Consider the following 26,368-nt stretch of genomic DNA (forward strand, 5'->3'; position numbering starts at 1 on the left):
GCTACTTTACAACCTGGCGAACAACAGTAAGGAGAAGCAGACATGAGGAAGAGGGAGAAACCTGAGGGATGTCCTGGCTTTGTAACAACACCCTCTTGAGGAACTAATCTATTTCTGGGAGAACTAATCCAGTCTTGAGAGAGTGAGAACTCACTCACAAACATGAGAACAGCACCAAGCCATTCATAAGGGATCCACCCCCATGGCACAAATACCTTCCACTAGCTCCCAACCCCCGACGCTGCCACAGTAGGGATCAAATCTCAACATGAGCTTTGGTGGCAACAAACGAACCATATCCAAACCATTGCAGGAGAGATTTTGTGACATTTTGTTTCCAGTAGGCAAGCTTCATCTTCTGTGTTTCCTAATTGAATGGCCCTTAGGCCACATTCTGAGGACAGCGTGGGTGTTTGCATGAGGGCCAACACAATCAAAACTTGATGATTGTGAAATTGTTTTTCTTTAAATTACCTTTGGACATTTGAAAAATGTGTTTCAAAAAATAAGTAAAAACCACCCATTCTCCAAGGCGGGCTGCCTTAGCTAATTGAGTGCCTCAAGACCCCAGGTGCATCCTAGAACGCTGTCCAAACCTGTCTGAAACCCAAATCAAGTCTTTGATGGTCAATGTCTGTCTTTCTAGTTCTAATTTAAAGATAAAAAAATACCTGTAATCCCAGCACTTTGGGAGGCTGAGGTGGGCAGATCACTTGAGGCCAAGAGTTCGAGACCAGCCTAGCTAACATGAAGAAACCCTGTCTCTACTAAAAATACAGAAAATCTAGCCAGGCATGGTGGTGCACGACTGTAGTTTCAGCTACTTGGGAGGCTGAGGCAGGAGAATCGCTTGAACCCAAGAGGTGGGGCTGCAGTGAGCCAAGATCTCAAGACTCCGTCTCAAAAAAATAAAAAAATAAATCTTCATTAAAAAAAATCCAAATCAACATTTGGATAAGGTAATTTGAGAAGGATTTATTAGCATGTGAATTTATGTATTTATTTATTTATTTTTAAGAAAGAGAAATGTACAGAGAGATGGCGGGAGAGCAGTCTGGTAGCAGTTCTTTAAACTCTCTGTAAAGCTGGATGGTTATATGATTTCTCAGAGTTGCTGCAGGGCTTTGATGAGATAATATCACTAAAATGCCTTGGACCAAGCCTACCATAGAGTGACACTCAAGAAATGTTAGTCCCAGCATTTTCCCTTAACAATTGCCTCTTCCCCTAACAATTCTCTCAGCTGTTTGCCAGGGATCTGAATGTCCTGGGTCCACCAGGCTTCTCAGTCTGACAAGATCACTTTTCTCATCTGGTAACCTCAAGGCTACAAGATGAGTTTTACGGGCCCTTTCCTTCATAATGTGATATCAATTTTTACATGATTTTTGATATAACTTTAAATTCTTCAACATTGTATTTAATTTTTATTTTAGACAAAGTCTAAATTTTCTTAGACCTTGAAAATTTCATTTTTTTAGATGTGAGCAATAATGCAAAATTTTTTAACCCTAAAGTTTTGTTGTTTTCCTTCTTGATTTTAAAATAAACTCACACATTTTTGTGGGTCCCTAAGAGTACCATGGACCCTGGGCACTGCGTCTAATGAGAAATAATGGAAAGAGAAACAAAAATGTGAAGAACAAAGTCCAGCAACTCAAAGTTGCTCAAGGAAGGGATATTGCTTCTGTGGGAAGTTTTACTCGTCCCTCAAATGGGTTTTCCTGGCTCTTTGACTCTTCAATCCCTTCCAGAGGACAATAATAAGATTTGTTCTTTGAAACTGAAGGAAAACCATAAACGGTTGGTGACTGGGTTGGTGAACATTAGCTAATGTGAAACAGAGCACAGGACTTGTCTAACAAGGAATTTGCATATTCTCATCCACGTAGCCTGGTGTAGGTTCTGCCTGGGGCCATGGGTAATGAATGCCTGCACAGCCTCTCCAGACTGTCAAGGGAGCCACTTGCACCCAAAACCTAACCTCAGGGGCCTCCAGGCAGATCAGGAGAGCAGGTCATTCACCACTCACGAGGACAAAACGAACTGACTCAGCCTTCTTTTGGGGGTAGGGGATTGATTCCTGGACCATTAGGGAGTGTTTAAAAGAGATTAATTGGCCACTGGTGGGACCACTCCAGTCACTTTCCAGGCAAGACAGGGCTACCTTCAGCATCTCTAGTGAAAGTGGTGAATTAGCACTTCAGAAGTGAGATGGCATGGACAGAAGCTTCTGGGGCTGAGCTCACCATTGGAAGCTTCTTTCCAGCTTCCTGAAGGTCTCTGGAGGTCTCTTCTTACCGGGGAGGATGATCCCTGGTGGCTCCCTGCTGACATTCTTCAAAACTCGGCTATTTCCCCAGTGTCCTGCTGATAAAACAGAAGAGGAAATGATGAAAGTAGGTTGCTCTATTATTAACTCATCTTTTAATTTCAGTTCGTTTGTTTTAGTATGTTTCTTGATGCTAGGCATGACACCCATTCATTCATTCATTTATTCATTAAACAAATGTTTATCAATGATATGTGACATTCTAGGCACTATTCTAGACATTCTAGGCACTATTCTAGACATTTAGAATACAGCAGTGAACAAAATAAAGATCCCTACCAGTGTGAAGCAAACATTCTAGAGGGGAAAAAAGGCAAGAAACAATAACACAACAGCACAGTTTATTGTCTCTAAGATGGCAGTGATACAAGATGCACTGCTAGTCTATGTGCCACTAAAGAAAGAAAGAATGCTGCTAATAAATTGCTGCCATTATAGAATGCATCTTGATTTTATGTATGTTAAGATGTGAAACTTAGAATTGATTACATAAGATAAATAAACTATAATATATCAAAATGTGGCTATGAAAAAAGTGAAGCTGGGAGGGGAGTGGTGATATTGAACAAAGGCTTGAAAGAAATGGGACTGTTAAATTAATGGCAACTATTTTTGCAAAACTGCTTTATTGAGATGTAATTTATATATAATAAAACTCACCCTTTTAAGTGTATAATCCATTTTAGTAAGGTTACAGAGTTACACAAACATGATCTAGATTACCATGATCTAGATTTATAATATTTCTTTCTTTTTTTTAAAAAAAAGAACACGTAACAGGAGATCTATCTCTTAACAAATTTTTAAGTGTACAATACAGTGTTGTTAACCAGAGTCACAATTTTGTACAGCAGATCTCCAGAACTTAATCATCTTGAATAACTAAAACTTTATAACCCTTGAATAATACCTTTCCATTTATACTGCCCCATCCCCTAGCAACCACCATTCTACTCTGTTTCTATGTGTTTGACTTTAGATACATTTAGATACTTATGTAAGTGGAATTATGCAGTGTTTGTCCTTTTGTGACTGGCTTATTTCACTTAGCATAATGTCCTCCAGGCTCTTCCATGTTGTAGCATATGGTAGAATTTTTTTAAAGCTGAATAATATTCTACTGCATGTGCAGTATGCCACATTCTCTTTATCCATTCATCCAGCAATGAACATTTGGGTGGTTTCCACCTCTTGGCTACTGTGAATAATGCTGAAATTAACATGGGAGTGCAGATATCTCTTTGAGGTCCTGATTTCAAATCTTTTGGATAAATCCCCCAAATGGGATTGTTAGATCATATAGTACTTCTATTTTGATTTTTTCATGAACCTCCATACTGTTTTCTATAGCAATTGCACCATTTTACATTCCTACCACAGTGTGCCAGGATTTCAGTTTCTCAACAGCTTAGCCAACACTTATCTTTGTTTTTTTTTTTTTTTGGTTTTTTTTTTTGGATAATAGACATCCTAACAGCTGTGAGATGATATCTCATTGTAGTTTTGATTGTATTTTCCTGATGACTAGTGATGTTGAGTACCTTTTCATATACCTATTGGAATGGCAGCTATTTATTGAACAACTATGATATCCAAGAGGGCAGATATCATTTGTTTACCACTGTGTCCCCACTGCTAAAGCATCTGGCACATGGTAGGTACTCAATAAACATTTGTTGAATGAATGAGCTACTATTCATATATGCCAGGTACTTCACAGTGAATTCTTATCAAATGTTTGGAGGTAAGCATGGTCATGCCTATTTTATGAACGGTGAAACTGAGGCTCAGAAAAGTAACTTGTTCCTGGTCACAAACCCAGGTGAGGAGAATATAGTACTTGAACCCAGGTCTCTCTGATGTTAACATGTAAACTCTTCCTCTACATCTCACTGGCTTCTCTGCTTCTGGCCATTTTAATATCCCTCTGGTACAAAAATAAAAATAAAAAAAAATTGGAACACCAGGCAAGCAGGGGCTTTGGATAAAAATCAGACTCATAGAAACCAGAATGAAACCTTTGGGAATAGAAAGCCCAATTCACTGCCTGGGAAATGTCACATTTTGTGGAGGTGCAAGCAGTTGGCTTGTTATCTCAGATCTCAAGTTCTAGCTACTTTCACTTTAAAATCTATTATTTGAGTGAATTAAGACTCCCTGCCTCCAAAGAGACGATTTTTTTTAGTAAAAACTCTCCCTTGTTAAACAGTTTAACTCAAACTGGCAGCATAACTGTTAAAAACAAACTTACTTTGATACTTTGCAAAGCATAAGGCCAAATAACAATGGACATGGAAACCCACCACAGTCTTTCTAAGACTAAGTCAAACATCCTATATATAGAAAAACATCTTGGGTAAAATCTGTTAAGCCAATATTGGCTGAATTCAAAATTACACCTAATTTGAAACAACTGCTTTTTCCTCAGCCAACTGGCTACCCTATTGTTCTTTAATAAAAATAACAGAAAATCCAAATTTGAAGTCAAGTTCTCCCCGAAGAAAGATACGTTTCATATTAAAAGGCTCTACTGGTGACACTTGTGATATGAGCTGGGGTCTCCATTGTCTATCCTGGTAGAGTGGGAAGATTATCAGTGGTTAGGCAAGGTCCCTAAAAACTTGAAATTTTTGCTACAAACACGAGGGAATAATTAAACTTGGTTGGAATAAACAAACTTTTGGGGCAGTCCAGGCAGAGATCAGAATTCTCAAAATCCAAAGGCCTTTGTTGTGTTTTATTCATAACCTGCTCAGAGGAAAGCCGAAAATGGATCCTATATACCATGAGCTCATTCCTTTTTTTTTTTTTTTTTTTTTTTTGAGACAGAGTTTCTCTCTGTCACCCAGGCTGCAGTGCAGCGGTGTGATCTTGGCTCACTGCAAGCTCCGCCTCCCAGGCTCAAGCAATTCTTGTACCTCAGCTTCCTGAAGAGCTGGGACTACAGGTATGTGTGCCACAACACCCGGCTAATTTTTGTATTTTTAGTAGAGACAGGGTTTCACCATGTTGGCCAGGCTGGTCTTGAACTCCTGACCTCAGGTGATCTGCTCGTCTTGGCCTCCCAAAGTGCTAGGATTACAGATGTGAGCCACCGCACCTGGCTTCATTATTTCTCATTGAGGCAAAATGTTCCATTGTATGAGTAGATCAAAGTTTACTTGTACATTTCTCTGTTGGTGGACATTTGGGTTTCTTCTAGTTTTGAGACATTAAGTGAAGCAGTAGTTACCAGCTAGGGGCTGGGCCTATTAGTCTGTTTTCATGAGTCTGTTTTCACGCTGCTGGTAAAGACATACCCAAGACAGGGAAGAAAAAGAGGTTTAATTGGACTTACAGTTCCACATGGCTGAGGAGGCCTCAGAATCATGATGGGAGGCAAAAGGCACTTCTTACATGGTGTCAGTAGGAGAAAAATGAGGAAGAAGCAAAAGCAGAAACCCCTGATAAACCTGTCAGATCTTGTGAGACTTATTCACTATCATGAGAATAGCACGGGAAAGACTGGCTCCCATGATTCAATTTCTTCCCCCTGGGTCCCTCCCACAACACATGGGAATTCTGGGAGATAGAATTCAAGTTGGGATTTGGATGGGGACACAGCCAGACTATATCATTCCACCCCTGGCCCCTCCAAATCTCATGTTCTCACATTTCAAAACCAATTATGCCTTCCCAACAGTCCCCCAAAGTCTTAACTCATTTCAGCTTTAACCCAAAAGTCCATAGTCCAAAGTCTCCTCTGAGACAAGGGAAGTTCCTCCACATATGAGCTGGCAAAATCAAAAGCAAGCTAGTTACTTCCTAGATACAATGGAAAAACAGGTATTGGGTAAATACATTCATTCCAAATGGGAGAAATTGGCCAAAACAAAGGGGTTACAGGGCCCATGCAAGTCCGAAATCCAGTGAGGTCGTCAAATTTTAAAGCTCCAAAATGATCTCCTTTGACTCCAGGTCTCACATCCAGGTCATGCTAATTCAAAAGGTGGGTTCCCATGGTCTTGGGCAGCTCCACCCCTGTGGCTTTGCAGGATACAGCCTCTCTCCCACTGCTTTCACGGGCAGGCATTGTGTGTCCGTGGCTTTTCCAGGTGCACAGTGCAAGCTGCCTGTGGATCTACCATTCTGGGGTCTGGATGACGGTGGCCGTCTTCTCACAGCTCCACTAGGCGGTGCCCCAGTAGGGACTCTGTGTGGGGGCTCCGACCCCACATTTCCCTTCTGCACTTCCCTAGGAGAGGTTCTTCATGAGGCCCTGCTCCTGCAGCAAACTTTTGTCTGGGCATCCAGGCATTTCTATACATCTTCTGAAATCTAAGTGGAGATTCCCGAACCTCAATTCTTGACTTCTGTGGACTGCAGGCTCAACACCATGTGGAAGCTGCCAAGGCTTGGGGTTTGCACACTCTGAAGCCACAGCCCAAGCTCTATGTTGGCCCCTTTCAGCCACATCTGGAGCAGCTGGGACACAGGGCACCAAGTTTCTAGGCTGCACACAGCACAGGGACCCTGGGACTGGCCCATGAGACCACTTTTTCCTCCTGGGACTCCAGGCCTGCGATGAGAGGGGCTGCTGTGAAGGTCTCTGACTTGGCCTGGAGACATTTTCCCCACAGTCTTGGGGATTAATATTAGACTCCTTGCTACTTATGCAAATTTCTGCAGCTGGCTTGAATTTCTCCTCAAAAAATGGGTTTTTCTATTCTACTGCATCATCAGGCTGCAAACGTTCTGAACTTTTACGCTCTGTTTTCCTTTTAAAATGGAATGCTTTTAACAGCACCCAAGTCACCTCTTGAATGCTTTGCTGCTTAGAAGTTTCTTCTACCAGACACCCTAAATCATCTCTCCCAAGCTCAAAGTTCCACACATCTCTAGGGCAGGGGCAAAATGCCGCCAGTCTTTTTGCTAAAACATAGCAAAAGTCGCCTTTGCTCCAGTTCCCAACAAGTTCCCCATCTCCATCTGAGACCACCTCAGCCTGGACCTTATTGTTCATATCACTATTAGCATTTTTGTCAAAGCCATTCAACAGGTCTCTAGGAAGTTCCAAACTTTCCCACGTTTTCCTGTCTTCTTCTGAGGCCTCCAAACTGTTCCAAACTCTGCCTGTTACCCAGTTCCAAAGTCGCTTCCACATTTTCAGCTATCTTTTCAGCAACGCCCCACTGTACTGATACCAACTGACTGTATTAGTCTGTTTTCACGCTGCTGATAAAGACATACCTGACACTGGGAAGGAAAAGAGGTTTAATTGGACTTACAGTTCCACATGGCTGGGGAGGCCTCAGAAACATGGCGGGAGGCAAAAGGCACTTCTCACATGGCAGTGGCAAGAGAAAAATGAGGAAGAAGCAAAGGCGGAAACCCCTGAAAAACCCATCAGATCTCATGTGACTTACTCACTATTACGAGACTAGCATGGGAAAGACCAGCCCCCATGATTCAATTACCTCCCCCTGGGTCCCTCCCGTGACACATGGGAATTCTGGGAGATACAATTCAAGTTGAGATTTGGATGGGGACACAGCCAAACCATATCACTGGGGGAGGAAGGCACCGTGGTAGTGCTATGGACCGAATCATGTCCCCTCCATATTCGTATGCTGAGGCCTTGAGCCCCAATGTGAATATATTTGGAGATGAGTCCTTTCTGGAAGTAATTAAGGTTAAATGAGGTCATAAGGTTAGGGCCCTGATCTGATAGAATTTATGTCCTTTTAAGAATAGACACCAGAGCGCTTGCTCCAGGTGCACAAAGTAGTGGCCATGTGAGCATACACTGAGAAAGCAGCCATCTGCAAGCCAGGAAGAGGGCCCTTACCAGCCATTCTAGTCCCCTGATCTTGGACATCCAGCTTCCAAAACTGTGAGAAACCGATTTTTGTTATTGAAATCGCTTAGCCTTTGGTATTTTGTTCTGGCACCCTGGCAGACTAATATAAGTAGGGGTAAGCAGGTTATTAACCAGAAAGAGACACAAAGGAGCTTTTCACATAAGGGCGATGGATATATTCTGTATCTTGATCAGGGTAGTAGTTACGTGGGTGGATACATAGGTGAACAAGTTTATCAAACTGTCAGTTTCAGATTTCTACATTCTTGTGCATATAAATTTTCCTAAACTTGAAAAAGGCCGTCTTATCCCCATCTTTCCCAATGGAATCTGTGTTTCAAAAAGATAACAATATAGTGTTCATGCCTTCAAACAGGCCTGGTAGAAAGGAAATTAACATACATTATTTATCTCGTATATATGTATGTTTCTGCCTGTAATAAATAATGGGGATTGAGCACTTAGCACAAGAGTAAGCAACTGCCAAATGCAGCTCTGGGTTCAGACCTGTATGGGGCAGACCTGAGAGCCAGGCCCCTTTCCCTACCATACTGAAACTGACAGCAAAGCCGCTCAGCTAAGGGGATGTGCAGAAAGGACGCCCTGGGGTCTCCTGAGGCTGCAGGGCGGCCGGGGAGCCCTGGGGTCAGGAGGGCAACTTTCTGGGGCACAGTGCTCGAGTCACCTCTCCGAGGAACGGCTCTGCCTGCACTGCTTCTTGTACTTTGTTTACCCGCCCCTAGGAAAAGAGCTGTGAAGATGATCGTAGGGAGCAAGCAGTGAGGCGGCAAATGGCTCTGAGAGGAGCCACGCAGACAGCTGGGCAGCCGTGCCAAGAACAACAGGAAGCTCGCGGCCCCACCCCTGCTCGCTGCAGCCCTGGCCTGGAGACCCAGGGTTATTTGCTTTGAAGGGCCCTCTGCAGATGTTACATAAACAAAACCTCCATTGACTCCAGTTCTGAGCCTGGCCTAAAATAGCCCGCGGGCTTCCCCCTACCACTGTGCAGTTTCGCCGCCATCCCTTTTGGTCCCCTTGTGTGCTAGCTGCTTCCCTCCATTGACCACATGTGCAGACAACTCTCGCCAGTGTCCCTAAGAGGCCAGTTCCCTGGGGAACAAAAAGTGGGGCTCGTTTGCCTTCCCTGGCAGGTCAGACACAAAGCATCCCTGTAAGACCTTTGATGGCTACTGGCCAAGGGACACGTTTCCCCTCCCCAGGGAGGCAGGAAGCTGGGCTGAGGCACAGTGGGGTTTGGTCAGCAGCCAGCACAAGAGGGACTGTGCTTTCTCTCTGTGTCTGTGTCTCTTTCTGTGTGTGTCTGCGTCTCTCTCTCTCTCTGTCTCTTTCTCTCTCTTTCCTAAGGGCAAGCTCTCCAGGTAAGGGCACGAGTTCTTCGTCAGCGTCTCTATTTTCACTTGATGTAACGACTGAACACTCTACTCTTGACTCTTCCTCCAAGCTCCTATAAAATTCCCTGACCCCATTTGCACTTCAGCTCCTTCATTCTGCAGAAAACCATTCCTTCGTGAACATCTGGAGAATCACAGATCCGTGCCACAGCACGGGGTCACTCTGGGCCTTGCCACTCAACATGGGTCCCTGGAAGCTATTATCATCTTTTCCCTTTGACCTCCTGCACTTCTCCAGGATCTTAACTCATAAAATAAAACCAAAAACAACACCAGCAATAAAAACATATTTATGTCAAATACTTACTATGTGCCTGATACAAGGCTAAGCATTTTATGTGTTTTATTTTATTTCATATTGAACAGTCTTATGAGATTGGTACAATAATTATCTCCAGCTGACAGAAGGACAAACTGCAGTTTGGAAAAATTATAGAACTTGTACAAGATGTGACAGAGGTGGAACAGTCAGACTTGTATTCAGTGTCTCAACCACTGCATTGCATGTCCGGGGAAAAAGAGGGCAGGACTCACAACTCCTCCTTTCCATGGTCTTTCTTCTATTCAAAGGCCATGCTATTGTATCCATGGTCAATGTCATTAAACATATCACTGATCAATTAATTATCCAATCAGTATTTAAGGACTATGTTTTCTGGGCAAGTTGCTATTTGAGTCTATACCAGACCAAAAAAACAAAAACGTATGATGTATACTATGTGAATATCTAGCTCCTACTGTATCAACAGTTGTACTTCGGTTGTGAGAGGGCTTTGTGTTTCTCTGGGCTGAAGATCCTCAAACCAGATGGCCATCCTGGAACTAGAAGTTCTTCTTTAATTTAATTTTTTTTTAATTTCAACTTTTATTTGAGATACCAGAGGTATATGTGCAGGTTCGTTATGTGGGAATATTGCATGAGGCTGAGGTTTGGAGTATGGATCCTGTCACTTATGTAGTGAGCATAGTACCCGATAAATAGTTAATTGCTGCCCCCCATCCCCCACTGTCTAGTAGTCCACAGTATCCATTGTTCCCATATTTATGTCCATGTGTGCTCAGTGTTTAGCTCCCACTTATAAATTTGGTTTTCTGTTTCTACATTAATTTGCTTAAGATTATGGCATCCAGCTGCATACATGTTGCTGCAAAGGACATGATTTCATTCTTTTTTATGGCTGCATAGTATTCCAAATGTGTGTATATACCACATTTTCTTTATGCAGTCTTACCACTGTTGGGCACGTGGGTTGGTTCCAAGTCTTTGTTATTGTGAATAGCACAGCGGTGAACATACAAGTGCATGTGTCTTTTTGGAAGAATAATTTTGTTTTCTTTGGGCATATTTTCCTTTGAGCAAGCCCAGTAATGGGATTGCAGGGTTGAATGGAACTAGAAGTCCTACCAACTTACAGGAGGGAAGATGGGAAGGAACGGAAGCAATATGGAGAGCTTTGAGGATCCGTGGAACAAGAGGATACTTCAGAAAGACCCACACTCAGGCAAGGGGCTGGAGCCAGGCTGTGGTGACCCAGCAAGGGGCTAATGGAGCCTGGGAAACCCTGGCATGCTGAGGAGTTTAGTTCAGATCCACATTCTCTTCACTCTGGGGGCTCCTGTGAGACTGGCTCTCAAATGAAGCCCCCGGGGCTGAGTCGGCTTTCCCTTTGGACCAAGTCAAAGCCTTCCTTTATCTTTAGAAAAAAGTCTTACTCCTGTGGGGTTCCCCTGGTTTTATTGTCTATTCACTTGTTTTATTCATCCACCCGTGTCCATTCATTCTAGAAACATTTCGTGAGCATCCACTATGTGCTAATACTAGGTACCAGGGTTACAGAAATGAATTTTAAATGTAATGGAATATGGTCCCGGCCTTCCAGGAGTTCGTACTGTAACATAGGAGAGAGAGAAGTAGTTATGCTGCAGGATGATAAGGCCAGCTATGAATGTAACTGCAGGCTTGGAAAGCCCCTGAGCTGGTTGGCCTGCCAGGTGCTGAGGAAGTGTGAGTGCCCACCTGTTCCTGTGCAGAGGGAAGGAGGGTGAATGTCCACAGAGACCTCCAGAAGAGATTGCTGGTGGATGCTTACTTCCTTCTCTTGAGCTTCCTTCTCTGTGAAAAGATCTCCACTAGAGGAAACTGGCCACTGTTTACCTCTTTTACTCATCTCCCCAGGAGATGAGGAATGGCTTATCTGATTGGAGAGTTAGTTCCAGAGAGGGAGCTAGGACAGAGTGGCTCTGGTTTTTCCCTGGTGGAGATCATTTCCTTCTACTGCTCTGTGTCATAAACTTTACAGAGGTTGGCTGTGGCCAGGAAGGTGCTGCTTGTAGCCCAGTGAATGAGTTTAGTTCAAGAGAAGATATTGAAACGTCCACCTAGCTAAGATATTGAAAGCCACATTCTCCAGCCTGACTTTTATCAATATTGTCGATTTGGATCTTCATTTGCCTGATTCCTGTAACAGAGACAAAATGTACTGTTTATTGGACTCCCTCAAACTCCGTCATACATGACACTTATGTGTGTGACAGGGATGGACTCAGCTCTCTGCCTGACTGGGAGTCATCTACATCCCTTGTGCTAAGCTCTGCAGAGAGAGGAGGCACATTTTCAGGGACTTCCCTGCCTCATTCCTTGCTTGAAAGCTTCCTTCTGACCCCACTCTGCAGCAAGAAAGGAAAAAGAACTTCCAGGATGAAAACAGAAAATCTGGATCGTCCCTTTTTCAGAGTCTGTGGCAGTTCTACAAAGGTCCATGAATAGTCTTTGGTCTGAGCCTGGAATGCCCACTGATGTCCCAGATAAGACTCTGCCTGGCTGCCTGCTGTCCTCTAGGGCTGTCTTTATTTTGGAAGGGGCCCTTCTGTCAATGTGTTCTGGCTTGGCTTTCAGGAACACCTTTGCCCTGTTGTTTCTGATGCTTGACTTCCCGTGGACTGAACTTGGGATCGTATTTTTCCCTAGAAGAATATGCTGTAACCGTATTATCCTGTAACCCTTAGAAGGCAGGTCAGGATTACTGCCCCTTTTTTCTCAGAAGACAGATTACTAAGATGCCAAAAGGGACCTAAGGTAGGGAAACACCCAAACAGGATTGGCAAAAACCCAGAGGGCCCCATGTATACATCCCTTAGTATTCTCGCATCAGACAATGCCATTTTCGCCTTCATTCTATCAGCTGGTTCCTCAACAGCTAACTGGGCTGGTTCTTTTCTCCCAAATTGGACACCAAAAGCTTCAGAGTAAGCAATAGCCCAGTAGAGGGAGCTGTGTTAAACAAGATTTCCAAGCTAAAGGGTAAAATACAATCAGCCAAGCAGGTAGCCCTGTGTATAATTCGGAAACTTGTATGTTAATGGATGGTTGCCTATTCGAAAGCTCTGAGCCAGAACACAGCTTTTGCAAGGTGGTGCCTTGCGTTTTGTGGGTTGCTCAGGATCATGCATCTTGCTTCCATCAGCAGAGCATGATCTTGGCTCCACATGGCAATTCCATGGTTAGACAGGTTTGTAGCTTCCACAGGTAGCCTTGGCTCTGGGAGCGGGAGGGAAGTGGGCAGGGTCCTCTGACCTTGCACATACCAGGCAGCGCTCATGCTCACGGTCTCAGGAGATAGATTCTGTGTCACAGAAACCTATAACTTAGGGGAGTTATTAGTGACAAGCTTTGAGGGCTCTGGCTAGGAAGGAGATGCAGTGAAAGGAGAATCTTTCACAAATATTTGGAGCTTCTGTTCACCTAACTCATCTAGCTGCCCGTGGGGTCTCAGACTGGGCTAAGTTCAAATCTAGGGCAGCCCTTGGTACAATTTCATTGAATAAACCTCTGTGATCAAGAGAATTATGAAATGTGGAAAATATCAAGGAAAGCAACATGTACTGTGTGCGTGTGTGTGTGTGTGTGCATGCTTTGGTGTGTGTTTGAGTTTGCCTGAGAACAGGAGTTTCCACAATTAATCTTGGATCATGAAAGATATCTATGGCAGAGATAAGAGAGCTAGCAAACTAGCATCCTTAAGGACTCAGCAGATGCCTACAGGTTAAAAATTCATGCAGACCTGTTGGGAAATAAGAGAGAAATGAGATGGTACGTGAGGTGACTTTACTATGTGCATTTGTTTGCTGGGGCCTGTCGTCACAAAATACCACAGATTGGGAGGCTGAAACAACAGATATTTACTTTCTCACAGTTCTGAAGGCTGGAAGTCCAAGACCAAAGTGCCTGTTGGTTTCTTCTGAGGCCTCTCAGTTGGCTTGTAGATGGCTGACCTCTTGCTGCCTCTTTGAGGTCATCCCTCTGTGCACACCAGCCCTGGCATCTTTCTCTTCTTATAAGGACACAGTCATATTGGATTAATGCCCCACCCTAATGACCTCAGCGTAATCACTTCCTTAGACCTTTTCTCCAAGTATGGTTACATTCTGGAATATGCCGGCTGGGGAGGGGTGGGGTGGGTTGGAACTTCAACACATGAATTTTGGGGGAAACAGATTCAGCCCATAACACTGTGTATGTCTATGGGGACAAAGAATTGTACTGATTAAGGTAAATTATGTTAGTTGTTATAACTGATAAATTCTGAAGTCTTAGAGCATAATACAAACAAAATCTATTTTTCACTCCCATGAAAGTCCATTTCAATCGGCCAGTCTATGGCTGTAGAAAATGCAGTCATTCCCAGACCTACCTGCCATCTTCAACACATGTTGTGTCCATGGATATTTTGAAAGGAGAAGTCAGAAGGAAAGTATGGACAAGGCAAAAGACTCTCAATGGCCTTCACCCAGAAGTGACACATTACTTCCACTTACACTGCATCAGCAGGAGCTGGTCTTATGCATGCATCTAGAGGAAAGGGGTCTGGGCAATGTAATTTGCATCTAAGCCCAGGAAGGGAAAGTGGGTTAGGTAAACATCTAGTCAATCTTTGCAGGGATGAAGTAAGCTTGGCCAGCTGAGTTCTAAAGATGGGCCGGGTGTTCTGGGGAACTAGTCAGCAGGTACTAGAAAGTCAAGTAAACATTCATTAAAGAACCCTTCGAGGTTCCCAAAGTCATGACGGACCTTGGTCTTGGGTGGTGTTCCCCAACCTCTTTCATGTCATGGCACACATAGGAAAGGATCATTCTTGTGCTGTATATTAGACTCTCTGGATGAAGTTATTCAAGGCCAGAGGTGATACATGAATTAGGAGGCCCCATGCACTCCAGGTGGCCACCTGGCCACTGTGAAGGCTGAGGATCTTATGGCATTTGCCATTTAAGATGTCCAGGGTTAATGGCTGGTAACCTGTTTGCAACATACTGGTGTGCTGCAGCTTACAGGTGGGAATGTTGAGGTCTAGAGAACAAAGCAAGTAACATGTGGATTAGATGTGCATTCTGTGAAGACCAAACCTACTGCCACCATCATGGGATAAAACAAAAAGGGAAACCAGGTGCTCTAAAAGCCAAGGACAGCAGAATTGTCCTGAAGGATTCTGCAAGATAATAAAGCATAGGGACCACAGATTTTCCCTTCATCTGCAGTCCGCGCTCTTAAAACTAGTGAGTTTTAATTATGTTATATTTGTAGCAACTCTTTCTTCTCTCTCTGGAGTAATTAATTGGAAGAGAATTACAAAGGAAACCCAGACATGGGTAGTAATATTCATCAGAGGACACAACAGAGGAAAGAAAATAGAACATAGGCTCTTGAACATTTTAACATAGGTTCAAGATTTTAACATTTATATACTGTCTTTGGTTTGGTTTAAATCATATCCACTGTGAACTAACAAATATTTCATGTTATCTATAAATAACTCAGTGAGTGCTTACAAATTATAGGGCAATATAGTTAGATCACAATGTGGCAGAGTGGCTGAAGGCCAATTAGAAAGCTCATATGCTTTTAACAAACACCCCACCGAAAGAAATCAATTTACATCCCGTGATTATTGCACCATCAGAGAATCTTTGCAATGTTATTAACCCTGGACATCCTAAATTACAAATGGAGATAACACTTAAAATTGATTAGCAGTGTATTTTGAGATAAAATGGTGTTTTTGCCTTGCTAATCACCTCTTTCACAGAAATTATTCTTGCTTTCCATGAAGTTATGAAAAATAAATTGGAGAAATCTTTTATTAAGATTTTAAAAGCAAACAAATAACTTTCAGGATAATATTCAAATCCTTTGTAATTTCCTTTCTCCATTTTCATCAACTGTGGGAATGCTTAACCACACAGGAAGAAGTTGGTGGACTTGGAAAGTTGCTGAATTCTCTTATTTGAATCAATCCACATTAAACACAAGCTATTGTTTTATTAGCAAGTGAAAGATAAACATAGCTTACACTGAGTGGATATGGAAGAGAAATTGGTTTCCTCTAGCCCAGTGATCCTTGAACAAATGAATGATTCTGACAGAAACCTAAGGAGAGAAGATTTTCCTGAGATTGGGTGGAAACAAACCATTCATGTATCGAATCCCTTGTCACCCACAAAATCCAGCCTACCAGGTTCACTAGCTCCTTAAATCTATGTACCACTAGGGGTGCATGAGACAATTTTAAATGGCATAAAGAAGAACAGCTTATTATTAACAGGAATGTTCTTAAATTAATGTATGTTAATAAAAATATACCCAACACAGTGAAACCATGATTTCATCAATAATAGTATCTAAAATGAGAATAAATATATATGTTACAAAAAAGGAGGTAAATAAAAATATTAAATATGATTGGGATGGGTGAGGTGGCTCACATCTGTAATCCCAGCACTTTGGGATGCCGAGGTGGGTGGATCACTTGAGGCCAGGAGTTCGAGACCAGCCTGGCCAACATAGTGAAACCCCGTTTCTACTAAAAATACAAAAACTTAGCCGAGCCTGGTGATGCATGTAATCGCAGCTACTCGGGAGGCTGAGGCTTGAGAATCACTTGACCCCAGGAGATAGAGGTTGCAGTGAGCCAAGATCGCACCACTACACTCCAGTCTGGATGTCCGAGTAAGATTCTGTCTCAAAAAAAAAAAAAAAAAAAAGTTAGGTACAGTTGATCTTCACTATTCATAGATTCAGTATTTGTGAATTTGCCAACTTGCTAAAATGTATCTGTAACTCCAAAGTCAGTATGTGCAGTGGTTTTGCTATTGTTTGCAGACATGTGTGGAGCAGCAAAACATTTGAGTTGCCATCTATACAAGTTTTCAGCTGAGGCCCAGCAAGGTAATGCTCTATTTTGTTCAGCTCTCATACTGTAAACAAGTGTCTATAATCAAGTGATTGATTTAGTGCCATGTTTTTTGCATTTCTGCCTTTTTTTGGGTAATTTCACTGTTAAAATGACCCCCACATGTAGAGCCACAGTACTCTCTAGCTTTCCTAAGTGCAGGAAAGCTGTGATGTGCCTTAGGGAGAACCTACATGTATTAGACACTCTTCCTTCAGGCATAGTTACAGTGTGATATTGGTCATGAGTTCAATGCCACTGAGTCAACAATATGTATTAAATAAGGTGTCTTTAAATGGAAACACATATAAAGAAGGTCATGTATTGACTGACTGATGAAAATGTTATGACCAGAGGCTCACAGGTATCTAACCCTGTATTTCACCTGGGAGCAATGGTTCAGTATTTGCTAATTCAGTATTTGCAGAGATGTTATAGAATATAACTAGTGTGAATAATGAGAACTGACCATGAATAGATGTCGAGGTGCTTTTGGTGGCACATGGAGATGTGCCACCCGGATCTCCTTTCAAGGAGGGCCTTGCTGAAGCCATGGGGAATGTGGTCAGCAGACTGCCTCCGGCTGGAAGCTCCTTCAGGGTCCACCTCAACTGCAGAGAGCCACCCTGCCCGAGGCCATGTCCTTCTCTGATGGTGGAACCTCTAATGGGGTCCCAATCCTTCCTCTTGCTCCAGACCCCCATTCCATCTCATTATATTGGCTGAGGCTTTGTCAGGCCTGCACAGCAGTTTGATTTCTCCTTCTGCTCAATCCTACTTCCTTCCTGTTTCCTCTGCAGTGCTAGTCCCTAATGAACATCCTATATCCCAACCTTCATTTCAGCTTCCATTTCTGAAGAAGCTAACCCATTATAGTGGTTCACAGATGTGGCAAAATATAGAGAAACATTTTGCTAAGATCCTCCCTCATTCCTCTCCTGCCCTCCACAGATATCAGCTTCCTTGCTCTCAACTTCTTGGTTCTGGACTCTTGGGTTATATCCAAATTCAGACACCCACCCCCAGCCCAGGGTCACTGCTGAAGGCTGTGAAGTCTGAGTCCTGCTCAAGGACCCATTTGAGGAGCTGAACTGAAATCCAGCCTGTGCTCCACTCATTAATTCATGGGTCCTGGTGAGGGATGTGCTGCCTGAGAGAAAGCCTGCTGGTCCTAACTGGCTCCCAGCAGCTGTGTGGCTAGCTGTGGCCATGGCTGTCTCTGCTCTGCCATCCCCCTGTGGCGTGGATCCCCACTTCCCGCTCCTACCCTCTGGACCCCTGCTCTCCTGAGCAGTGTTGGCCTTTGTCGTTGTTGCCTCTTGCCACTGCACCTTCCATTGTTTGGACTCTTCATTTGGGCCTTCTCATCTTTTCTGCCCCCAAGAGGAGGTGATCTGAGCTAAGCACAAAAACATTTCAATTTCTAAGCCTTTGGAAAGGTTTTCCCTTCAGATAGAGTGCTCGTACCAGAAAGCACCCACTAGAGAGAGCTCACATTTTCACTCCCTCCCAACCTCTCTGAATCATGTGTGTCTTCTGGACACTAAAATAAAGACTGTGCAACCTCTTGCCGGAATGTGCCTCCAAAGATCTGAGAGAAATTTGTAAAAACAATAGCTAATGTTTACTGGGACTTACTACATGCCAAACACTCTGCCAAGTGCTTTGTTTTTTTTTTCAGCTATAAATATTTTTTGTTTCTATAGCATTTAAGAGAAGCCTATAAAAAGTTGTTGTTAAATCAAATTTAAGAAAATTTTACATGGAAATTTTACTGAATCCTCATAGGATCCATAAGAGGTTGGTACTCACATTCCCATTTAACAAGTGAGGAAACACAGGCTTAGAGAGGTTAAGTAATTTGCCTCACACCTTGAATTCAGCAGAGTGGGGTTTCAGGTGTGCTTTCGTCTGACTCCGGCACTGAGTAAGCACTGTGCTTACTTCTGTGATAGTGAAGGTCACAGAAAAGCCGGGCTCAGCCTGAGACAAAGGCTACTGCTGCCAGAAACAGCAGGAAAGACGGTGAGAGCCAGGCTGATGAACAGGCCTCCCTTTAACTCAAGTTCAAAATCACAGTGGGATGAAAATCTGAGCATTTGAGGTTGGTTGGCTTCATTTTAACCATGTGCCTAAAAATTTGTCATCATTTAAAGACCATTTCCTCTGCACCTGCATCCAAAATGCATCCAGGGTCCAGTGTTTTAAGGAAGAATTACTCAGATGCTCTGTTTTGCTTCTTCACAATCCATGCATTCCACTTCTAATCACGTCGAATTTGTGGAGATAATGGCCTCGAGGGATTGGGAGGATGAAAATCAGGAGAAGTGAAGCTGATTTCTCCTTGACCATGTGGCTTCTTGAAATTTCAGGGTAGGCATTAAAAGAAGTGGTTGGTCGAGATTAAAGACTGAACTGTGCATCTTAGCTGTAATTTATGTCATTTCATCTGGGAGAAACATAAAAATCAACAGCTTTTAATGAATCTCTGCTTGGATGTTTTGTCACTCCTCAAAGAGTCTTTAGAAACACATTGAATCCCATGCCCAGATTATTAGGATTGAACCTTGCTGTGAGGGTATAGTGATGAGCAACATGGCTCTTATATTTCTCCAATGTTTGTCAAGACCAGTTTTTGTGAAAAAATGATTTATTAATTATTATATTAATAATCTGATGTATTAGCCCATCAATGAGTGACCTAGACAGGGATGTCGGTGGCATTCCAAGTGTCAGCCAGACACCCCACGCTTTCTATTTGCCCATCCGGTATGCTGGGTGCTACAGCTCTGGGGTCATTCTCCTTAGAGATCTTGGAATTCTTGAGGCCTTACATTTCTAGCTGCCACTCACTTCTCCTCAGCTTGCAGACATGGCCATGCTGCATTTCACTGACCCATTGCATACGAGTCCAGCCCCTGGGGAATTGCCTTAACTCTCAAGCATCTTAGGAATACACTTTTTCCTGTTTTAAAGAAGACCCTGGAAAGGGCAACAAAAACAGAACTCATCTCTAAGAATGCTGGCAGTGGATCCTGGAGGTTAACATCACAAGCTTTGGAGTCAAGCAGGCCTGGATTGAAATCCTTCCTCAATCACTTACTAGCTGTTTGGCCTTGGATGAGTTACTTGACTTCTCTATAAACGTCAATTCCCCGTCTGTAAAATGGATATAATTGTATATGTCTCGTTCTACTGTTGTGAGGATGGAGTGAGATTATGCATGGAAAGCACTTCAGCATTGAGAAGCACTCCAAATATGATAACTGTTAGTGTTATCAGAAGAGAAATTCAACATATCAGCAAAAACTCCCATCTACAATCTTAAAAACATTGTTAAGTGAAAGAAGCCAGACACAAAAGGCCACATGTTGTATAATCCCTTATATATGAATGTCAAGAGTAGGCAAATCTCTAGGGACAGAAAATAGATTAGCAATTGCCTAAGGCTGGAGAGTTGGAGGGGAATGGGGAGTGACTGCTAGTGGTTATGGTGTTTCTTTTAGGAGTGATTGCAATGTTCTGGAAATAGATAACAGTGATGGTTGTACAAATTTGTGAATACACTAAAAACCACTGAATTGTACACTTTTAAAGAATGTGTTTTATATATGTGAATTATATCTTTTAAAAAGTTATATTTAAAAAAGAACTATGTACGATGCAGCTAAAACCAGAGACTTTTTAAAGCTAATTTGTTTCCTGGAATCTCTCTACCTCTCCAAGCCTGGAAGAAGGATTAACTGTCATCTCACTGGAAGACTGTGTCTCTTTCTAGGTAAATCATTTGTTATATGATGACTGCACAGTAAATGTCAACCCATTGCAATTTTGGCATTTGTGGGGATCAGTAACATGCAGTTCTCTTGGCATTCTACGAGGGACTGCTAAACAGCCTGGATTTATGAGCATGAAGAGCCAGCCTACCATGCCTAAATCAGAGCTTCTCTGCATCTTGGTTCATTTGGCAGATGTTCCAGGTGATAAGTGAGATGTTTTCCTCCATTTAAAGTGAAAAAACCGAGGCAAGGAACAGAAAAAAAGAGTCTATTGGATTAACTGTGACTCTTTTGATGTATCATAGCCATTGGTTCTAACTGAAGGTGTGTGTGTGTGTGTGTGCACGTGTGTGTGTGTGTATGTGTTGGGGGAATGAGTAGGGTAGCTTTGCTAAAAGGGAAGAGGGAAGGAGATGTAGATGAGTCAGTGCCTACTGCAAAACTGGAGTGGATTAATTCTGGAATTTCATTGAGCATATTCAAAGCTTCCAAAGTATAATTTTAAAAACGTGTTTTCAGATTCACATCTCAGACAGAGTTGTCAGCGCTGCTTAGGAACAATTTCTTTTGGTGTGAGTAAGGTTACAAGATTTTGATAAAAATATTATTTCTTCATGTTTGGAATGTCTAAACAGATTTGTGGTTTTTCATTTTGCTTTAAAACATGATTAAATGTGCTTTAAAAAAATCAAAGCCTTCTGTCTGGGTTTTGAATCTCTTCCAGATTTATAGCTGCTTAATATTATATATGTCATGCCGATTTTCTTTTGGTTCAATCATGTCAATTGAGATTCTTTCAAAGAAAAAAAGGCTTATTAAAAAAGGAATTGTTTGTCCACCACATTAAGACTTTAAGAAATTTATCAAGATATTGATCAAGAACATTTTATTTTTAAAATTCTTTGCTGGAGCTGCTAGGCGGAGTAGATACCCAGAAGGAGAAGCTGAGGGAGATCTCAGGGCAGGCAGAGAATCAAAGTGAAAGTCAATTTGAGTAAGTTTTCCTTGGGCTAGCGTGCACACACTGGACTCTTTAATTACCTTTGTTTTTATGGAGAATGTACTCTCCAATGGGACTTAGTTGAGAGTGAAGGTAGTACATGTTGTGCTCTGTACTAAGAATCTTTGAGAGACTAAGCAGGAGAAGAGAAAATGCTCCCATATAGATGACCTGAACACTTAACAAGCAGTAAATAACAACAGCTACACGTATTGTCCATTTACTATGTTCTTGCACTCAGCTGGGAATTTCATTATTTTCCATAAAGCCCAATGATATTAGTGTGATTGTATCCATTTTAGAGATGAAGAAACTGATGGTCTAGAAGGTTAAATAACTGGGCCCAAGGTCAAGTAAGGGCATGGTTTATCTAAACTTTGAATCAGATCTGTTTGGTTCTTGCTTTTGACTACATCAAAAACCTGACAGATGGTCTTGCAATTGGAAACTGGGTTAATATCCTACTTCTAAAATCTTCTACTGCTTAGTTTCCCTATTCTTAGAGGAGGTCTTTTTTTGGAAGCCTAGTAAACTGCTCCTCCTAATGCCTTTCACTCATGAGTGATGCAGCTGCCCAAATCAGAAACTTGAAAGTTATTCCAATGCTCCCGTTTTCTCAGCCAGCACATGGATAAATCAAGTTCTAGAGATTCCACTCCTTCTATTTCCCTGCAATCCACCTTCTCTAGCTCTGCATCCATGATTGCAGTTCAGAGTGTGCCATTTTGCAGTGCTACTTATAGCAGCCTCTTAATTGGCATCTCTGCCTCCAGTCTTGCCCCCTCCAGTTCACTTCCCAAGAATGCTTTCATTCCCAACAGTGATTTTTCAAAAAAAAAAAAAAAAAGTGTAAGCAATCCTGTTCATTCACTACTAAAAAATGTTCACTCTCTTTTCATTACTTCAGGATGAAGTTCAAGTTTCCTAAGATTCCTTATAATGACTTCACTGATTTGGTTTTATCCTTCCAGCCTCATTTATTATATAACACTCTCTGGATCAGGAGTAGACTTGGTTACAAGTGACAGAAAAATGAAAATAACAGTGGCATAAACTACTAGAAAGCTGATTCTTTTCCTTTACATATGGGTGGTATCATTCAGTCATCCAGAATCCAAGTTCTTTCTAGATTATTTTTCCACTTCCTTAGCCATGTAGCTTCTGTGTCATTGGCTGGGGTGGCTGCTGGAAATTGAGCTCTCAGATCCCCATGTTAACCCGTGGAACAAAGGGAGGACCAAAGAAAGTCATGCCCTTCCCTTTTTGATGGTGTCCAAGAAGTTCCACTTAGGAACTCCCATTTCGTTTCCATGTAACTTGGTCACATGGACACATCTGTTGCAAAAGAGATTGGGAAATGTAGTTATTGTTTTTGTCAACCATTTGTCCAAAAACAAATTGGGGATCCTATTCTCAAGGAAACAGTGGATAAAATAAACTGAGGACAACTAACAGTCTCTGATACTTCCACTCTCAGCTGTTTGCAGTGGCCTGTAGTGAAGTGGCTCTTTCTGCCCTTGCTGTGCGTCTCACTCCAGGACCTCCTGAAGAGCGCTGATCCTGCACTATACATGTGGTTCTTCTCCTATGCCTCCCGACTTGTCAGAGAATTTCTTGAGGACATGGATGACTGTCTGGCAGCGACAGTTCCAGGTTTTTATTTTTGTTTCTTTAAATAGAGCCTTCTGTTTAGCTTAAATGTGGAAACATAACCATAGACGTCTGAGAATGTGAACACAGGTTATAATTCTGCGCAAGAAACATGCATTGCAAGAGTCCCCCAACTGCTGAGTCAGAGGTCTGTTTGAGGAGGCGATAGTTGAGTTAAGGTCAGCATTAGGAAAAGGAGCAAGCCACATAACAATCTGGAGGAAGAGCCTTCTTGATAGAGAATTCATTAGGACAAAGGCCTTGAGGCAGGAAAAGCCTTTGCATTTTCAGGGCAGAAGGAAGCACTGTGGCTAGAGGCTGCAAGTGAGAGAGAGAGTGGAAGTGTGGTAGAGATGGTGGGGACAGACAGCGCATAAAGGCAGCACAGGGTGGAAGTTACAAGTACCAGCTCTGGGACAGAGCAGTTGGATGACTCATGGTTCTACCACTTGCTAGCTGGAGATCTGAGTAAGGCACTTAGTCTCCCTGTGCCTTAGTTTTCCCATCTGTAAAATGGTTATAGACTAGTATGAAGATCATAGACTGGTTGTTAGATTTCAATGAGTTAACACATACAAAGCCCTTAGAACAGCACCTGGGATGTGGTGAACACTCAATAGATCCTTGGCACCTACATTCTTGACCCTGCTGATGTGCGTCTAGATTCTTGCTATGCCTGTCTTTCCAATATTGTACACCCAAACCTGGGCTCCTATTATCTTCCTGCTCTCTGCATTTAATTAGTTGCTTTCTCAGTGAGGGTTGGGTTTGACTGCATGTAACAGAAAAGTCAGAATGTATCAGGTTTTATGTGTAAACACATAAAACCAATTTTTTCTTTCAAGTAGAAATCCTGAGGCAAGCAGGCCACTCAGGGCTGAAATGGTGCCCTGTGCACCTTAGAGACCCCTAGTCCCTCCATCTTACTTTTTAAAAAATCATCTTCAACTTTTGGCTTAAGATAATTGCTGAAGTTTCAGCCATTTTGTCCACATCTCAGAATGATAAAAACAGAAGGATGGAAGAACAAAAAGGCATATCTGTTTTAAAAACTTTTCCTGAAGCCCCATCCTACAATCTTTCGCCATCACATTGGACAGAATTATTTATTTACATGACCAAACTTAGCTATAAGAAAGGCTGGCAAATGTAGTTTTCTTTTCCAGCCTAACACATTGCAGTTCAGTTACTAAGAAAAAAGAGGAGGCTGGGTGCAATGGCTCACACCTGTAATCCCAGCACTGTGAGAGGCCACTGTGGATTACCTGAGGTCAGGAGTTCAGGACCAGGCTGGCCAACATGGTGAAACCCTGCCTCTACTAAAAATACAAAAATTAGCCAGGCATGGTGGCGAGCACCTGTAATCTCAGCTACTTGGGAGGCTGAGGCAGGCAGGAGAATGGCTTGAACCTAGAAGGCAGAGGTTGCAGTGAGCTGAGATCCTGCCACTGCACTCCAGCCTGGATGACAGAGCGAGATACCGTCTCAAAAAAAAAAAAAAAAAAAAAAGAAAGAAAGAAAGAAAGAAAGAAGAGGAAAATGTTTGTTGGAAGAGGCCCATCTCCTTTCTTGTTGCCTAAATTCTAAACCAGACTCTCATTCTTTGTCTCCTCAGCCACTTCCAATGAGCTTTCTGCCTAAAGAATTTTCATCTTCAACACATTTTACACATAATGTGCTGTGGTTTGAATATGTGTGCCCCTGAAAAATTTATACATTTAAACCTAATCTCCAATGAGATACTGTTATGAAGTGGGGCTTTTGGGGAAATGATTAAGTCATGAGGTTAGAGCCCTCATGAATGGGATTATTGCCTTATAAAAAGAAAACTGAGGGAGCTTATTTGCCCCTTCTGCTACGTGAGGACACATAGAAGGCGTTATCTATAAGGAATAGGCCCTGACCAGACACTAAATCTGCTAGCATCTTGATCTTGGACTTAGCCTCCAGAACTTGGGGCAATAAGTTTATGTTATTTATAAGCCACTCAGTATAAGGTATTTTGTTATAGCAGCCAAATGGACTAAGACAAAGAGCCTTCAATTGCTCCCATTTGTATCAAGCAGAGCGCATAAACTGCTGTCCTGCAAGCTGAAGCAACCCAAAGTCATAGTTTGATACTTTCATGGCATTTTGAAAAAAAAAATAGAATCAAATTACTTATCGAAATTTAACAAACCAAAAGTTGCTCTAAAAGCTTGCATGCTTGCATTTCTTTCTTTCAATAGCAGAGGTTCTGGATCCACATTTCTGAATGGCAATAATTAGCTGCGGCTGAATAATCAGTCACTCCTTGGATAGGGCTTGAGATTTCTAGTTTGCCCAAATCCCCACTCTTCCTCTTACCTCACACCAAGCCCACTCCCCTAATTTACATTTGCCACCTGTCCCCTCAAGGCATTGACTTTATAAGTCTTGACTTTATAAAATCGAAAACTCCTATTATCTGTTTAAGTCCCTTCCTTGATCTGGTCTTCACTTACTTCTCTAGCAAAATGCCCCACGATTCCCTTCATGTTCTCTGGGATCCAACAAACTCCCCACACAGCACCTCTCAACTGTAAGTTCTATGAGGCCCATGTCTGTGTTTTTCATCAATATATTCCCAGCACCTGTAATGATGTCTCATTCATAACAAATGCTCAATAATTAATTTTTAAATGAATCCGTGAACCAATACCTTTCTTCTATTACCTCCCTGCCTTTGTTCATGTTGTTCTCAGTCCCTAAAATGATGGGGTGTTTTGTTTTGTTTTGTTTTTAAGATACAGGGTTTTGCTCTATCACCCCAGGCTGGAGTGCAGTGGCCCTCCATACTAACCCTCCCAAGTTGCTGGGACTATAGGCATGTGCCACCATGCCTGCTATTTTTAAATTTTTTTTCGTAGGGACAGGGGTCTTGCTTTGTTGCCCAGTCTTGTGTTAAGCTCCTGGCCTCAAGCAATCCTCCCATCTTGTCTTCCCACAGCACTGGAATTATAGGCATGAGGACCGCACCTGGCCTGAAATGACCCTCTTAACATTCACATGGCAGGTACAAACCACCCAGAGTCAAACAACCCTCCTCAGTCAAACCTGCCCTGACCCACTTGCTAGAAGTAACTTTCTCCTTCTGTGAACTCTTACAAAATCT

The 26,368-nt window shown here is 42.5% G+C and overlaps 1 long non-coding RNA gene across 1 annotated transcript in view, besides 3 other annotated features; it reads left to right on the forward strand.

Moving 5' to 3' along the window:
- The first annotated feature begins 2,131 nt into the window (after positions 1-2,131).
- The window catches only part of LOC100506444 (uncharacterized), a 38,458-nt gene continuing 14,221 nt past the window's right edge, over positions 2,132-26,368 (forward strand). The window contains exons 1-2 of the long non-coding RNA NR_125918.1: positions 2,132-2,399; positions 23,063-23,238. This is a non-coding gene — a long non-coding RNA (uncharacterized LOC100506444). The remainder of the gene's footprint in view (positions 2,400-23,062; positions 23,239-26,368) is intronic.
- Positions 8,782-8,901: an enhancer, noted in NCBI's record as "active region_21567". NCBI's record gives its function as "activates an Ori minimal core promoter by ATAC-STARR-seq in GM12878 lymphoblastoid cells {active_cell/tissue: GM12878}" and the evidence as "EXISTENCE:reporter gene assay evidence [ECO:0000049][PMID:35858748]".
- Positions 11,626-11,705: an enhancer, noted in NCBI's record as "active region_21568". NCBI's record gives its function as "activates an Ori minimal core promoter by ATAC-STARR-seq in GM12878 lymphoblastoid cells {active_cell/tissue: GM12878}" and the evidence as "EXISTENCE:reporter gene assay evidence [ECO:0000049][PMID:35858748]".
- Positions 24,960-25,561: an enhancer, noted in NCBI's record as "OCT4-NANOG hESC enhancer chr4:54584896-54585497 (GRCh37/hg19 assembly coordinates)". NCBI's record gives its function as "activates a minimal SCP1, AML or CMV promoter by ChIP-STARR-seq in primed H9 embryonic stem cells {active_cell/tissue: H9 hESC(primed)}" and the evidence as "EXISTENCE:reporter gene assay evidence [ECO:0000049][PMID:30033119]".

Source organism: Homo sapiens, chromosome 4 (assembly GCF_000001405.40).
Source record: "Homo sapiens chromosome 4, GRCh38.p14 Primary Assembly".
NCBI classification, from domain to species: domain Eukaryota; kingdom Metazoa; phylum Chordata; class Mammalia; order Primates; family Hominidae; genus Homo; species Homo sapiens.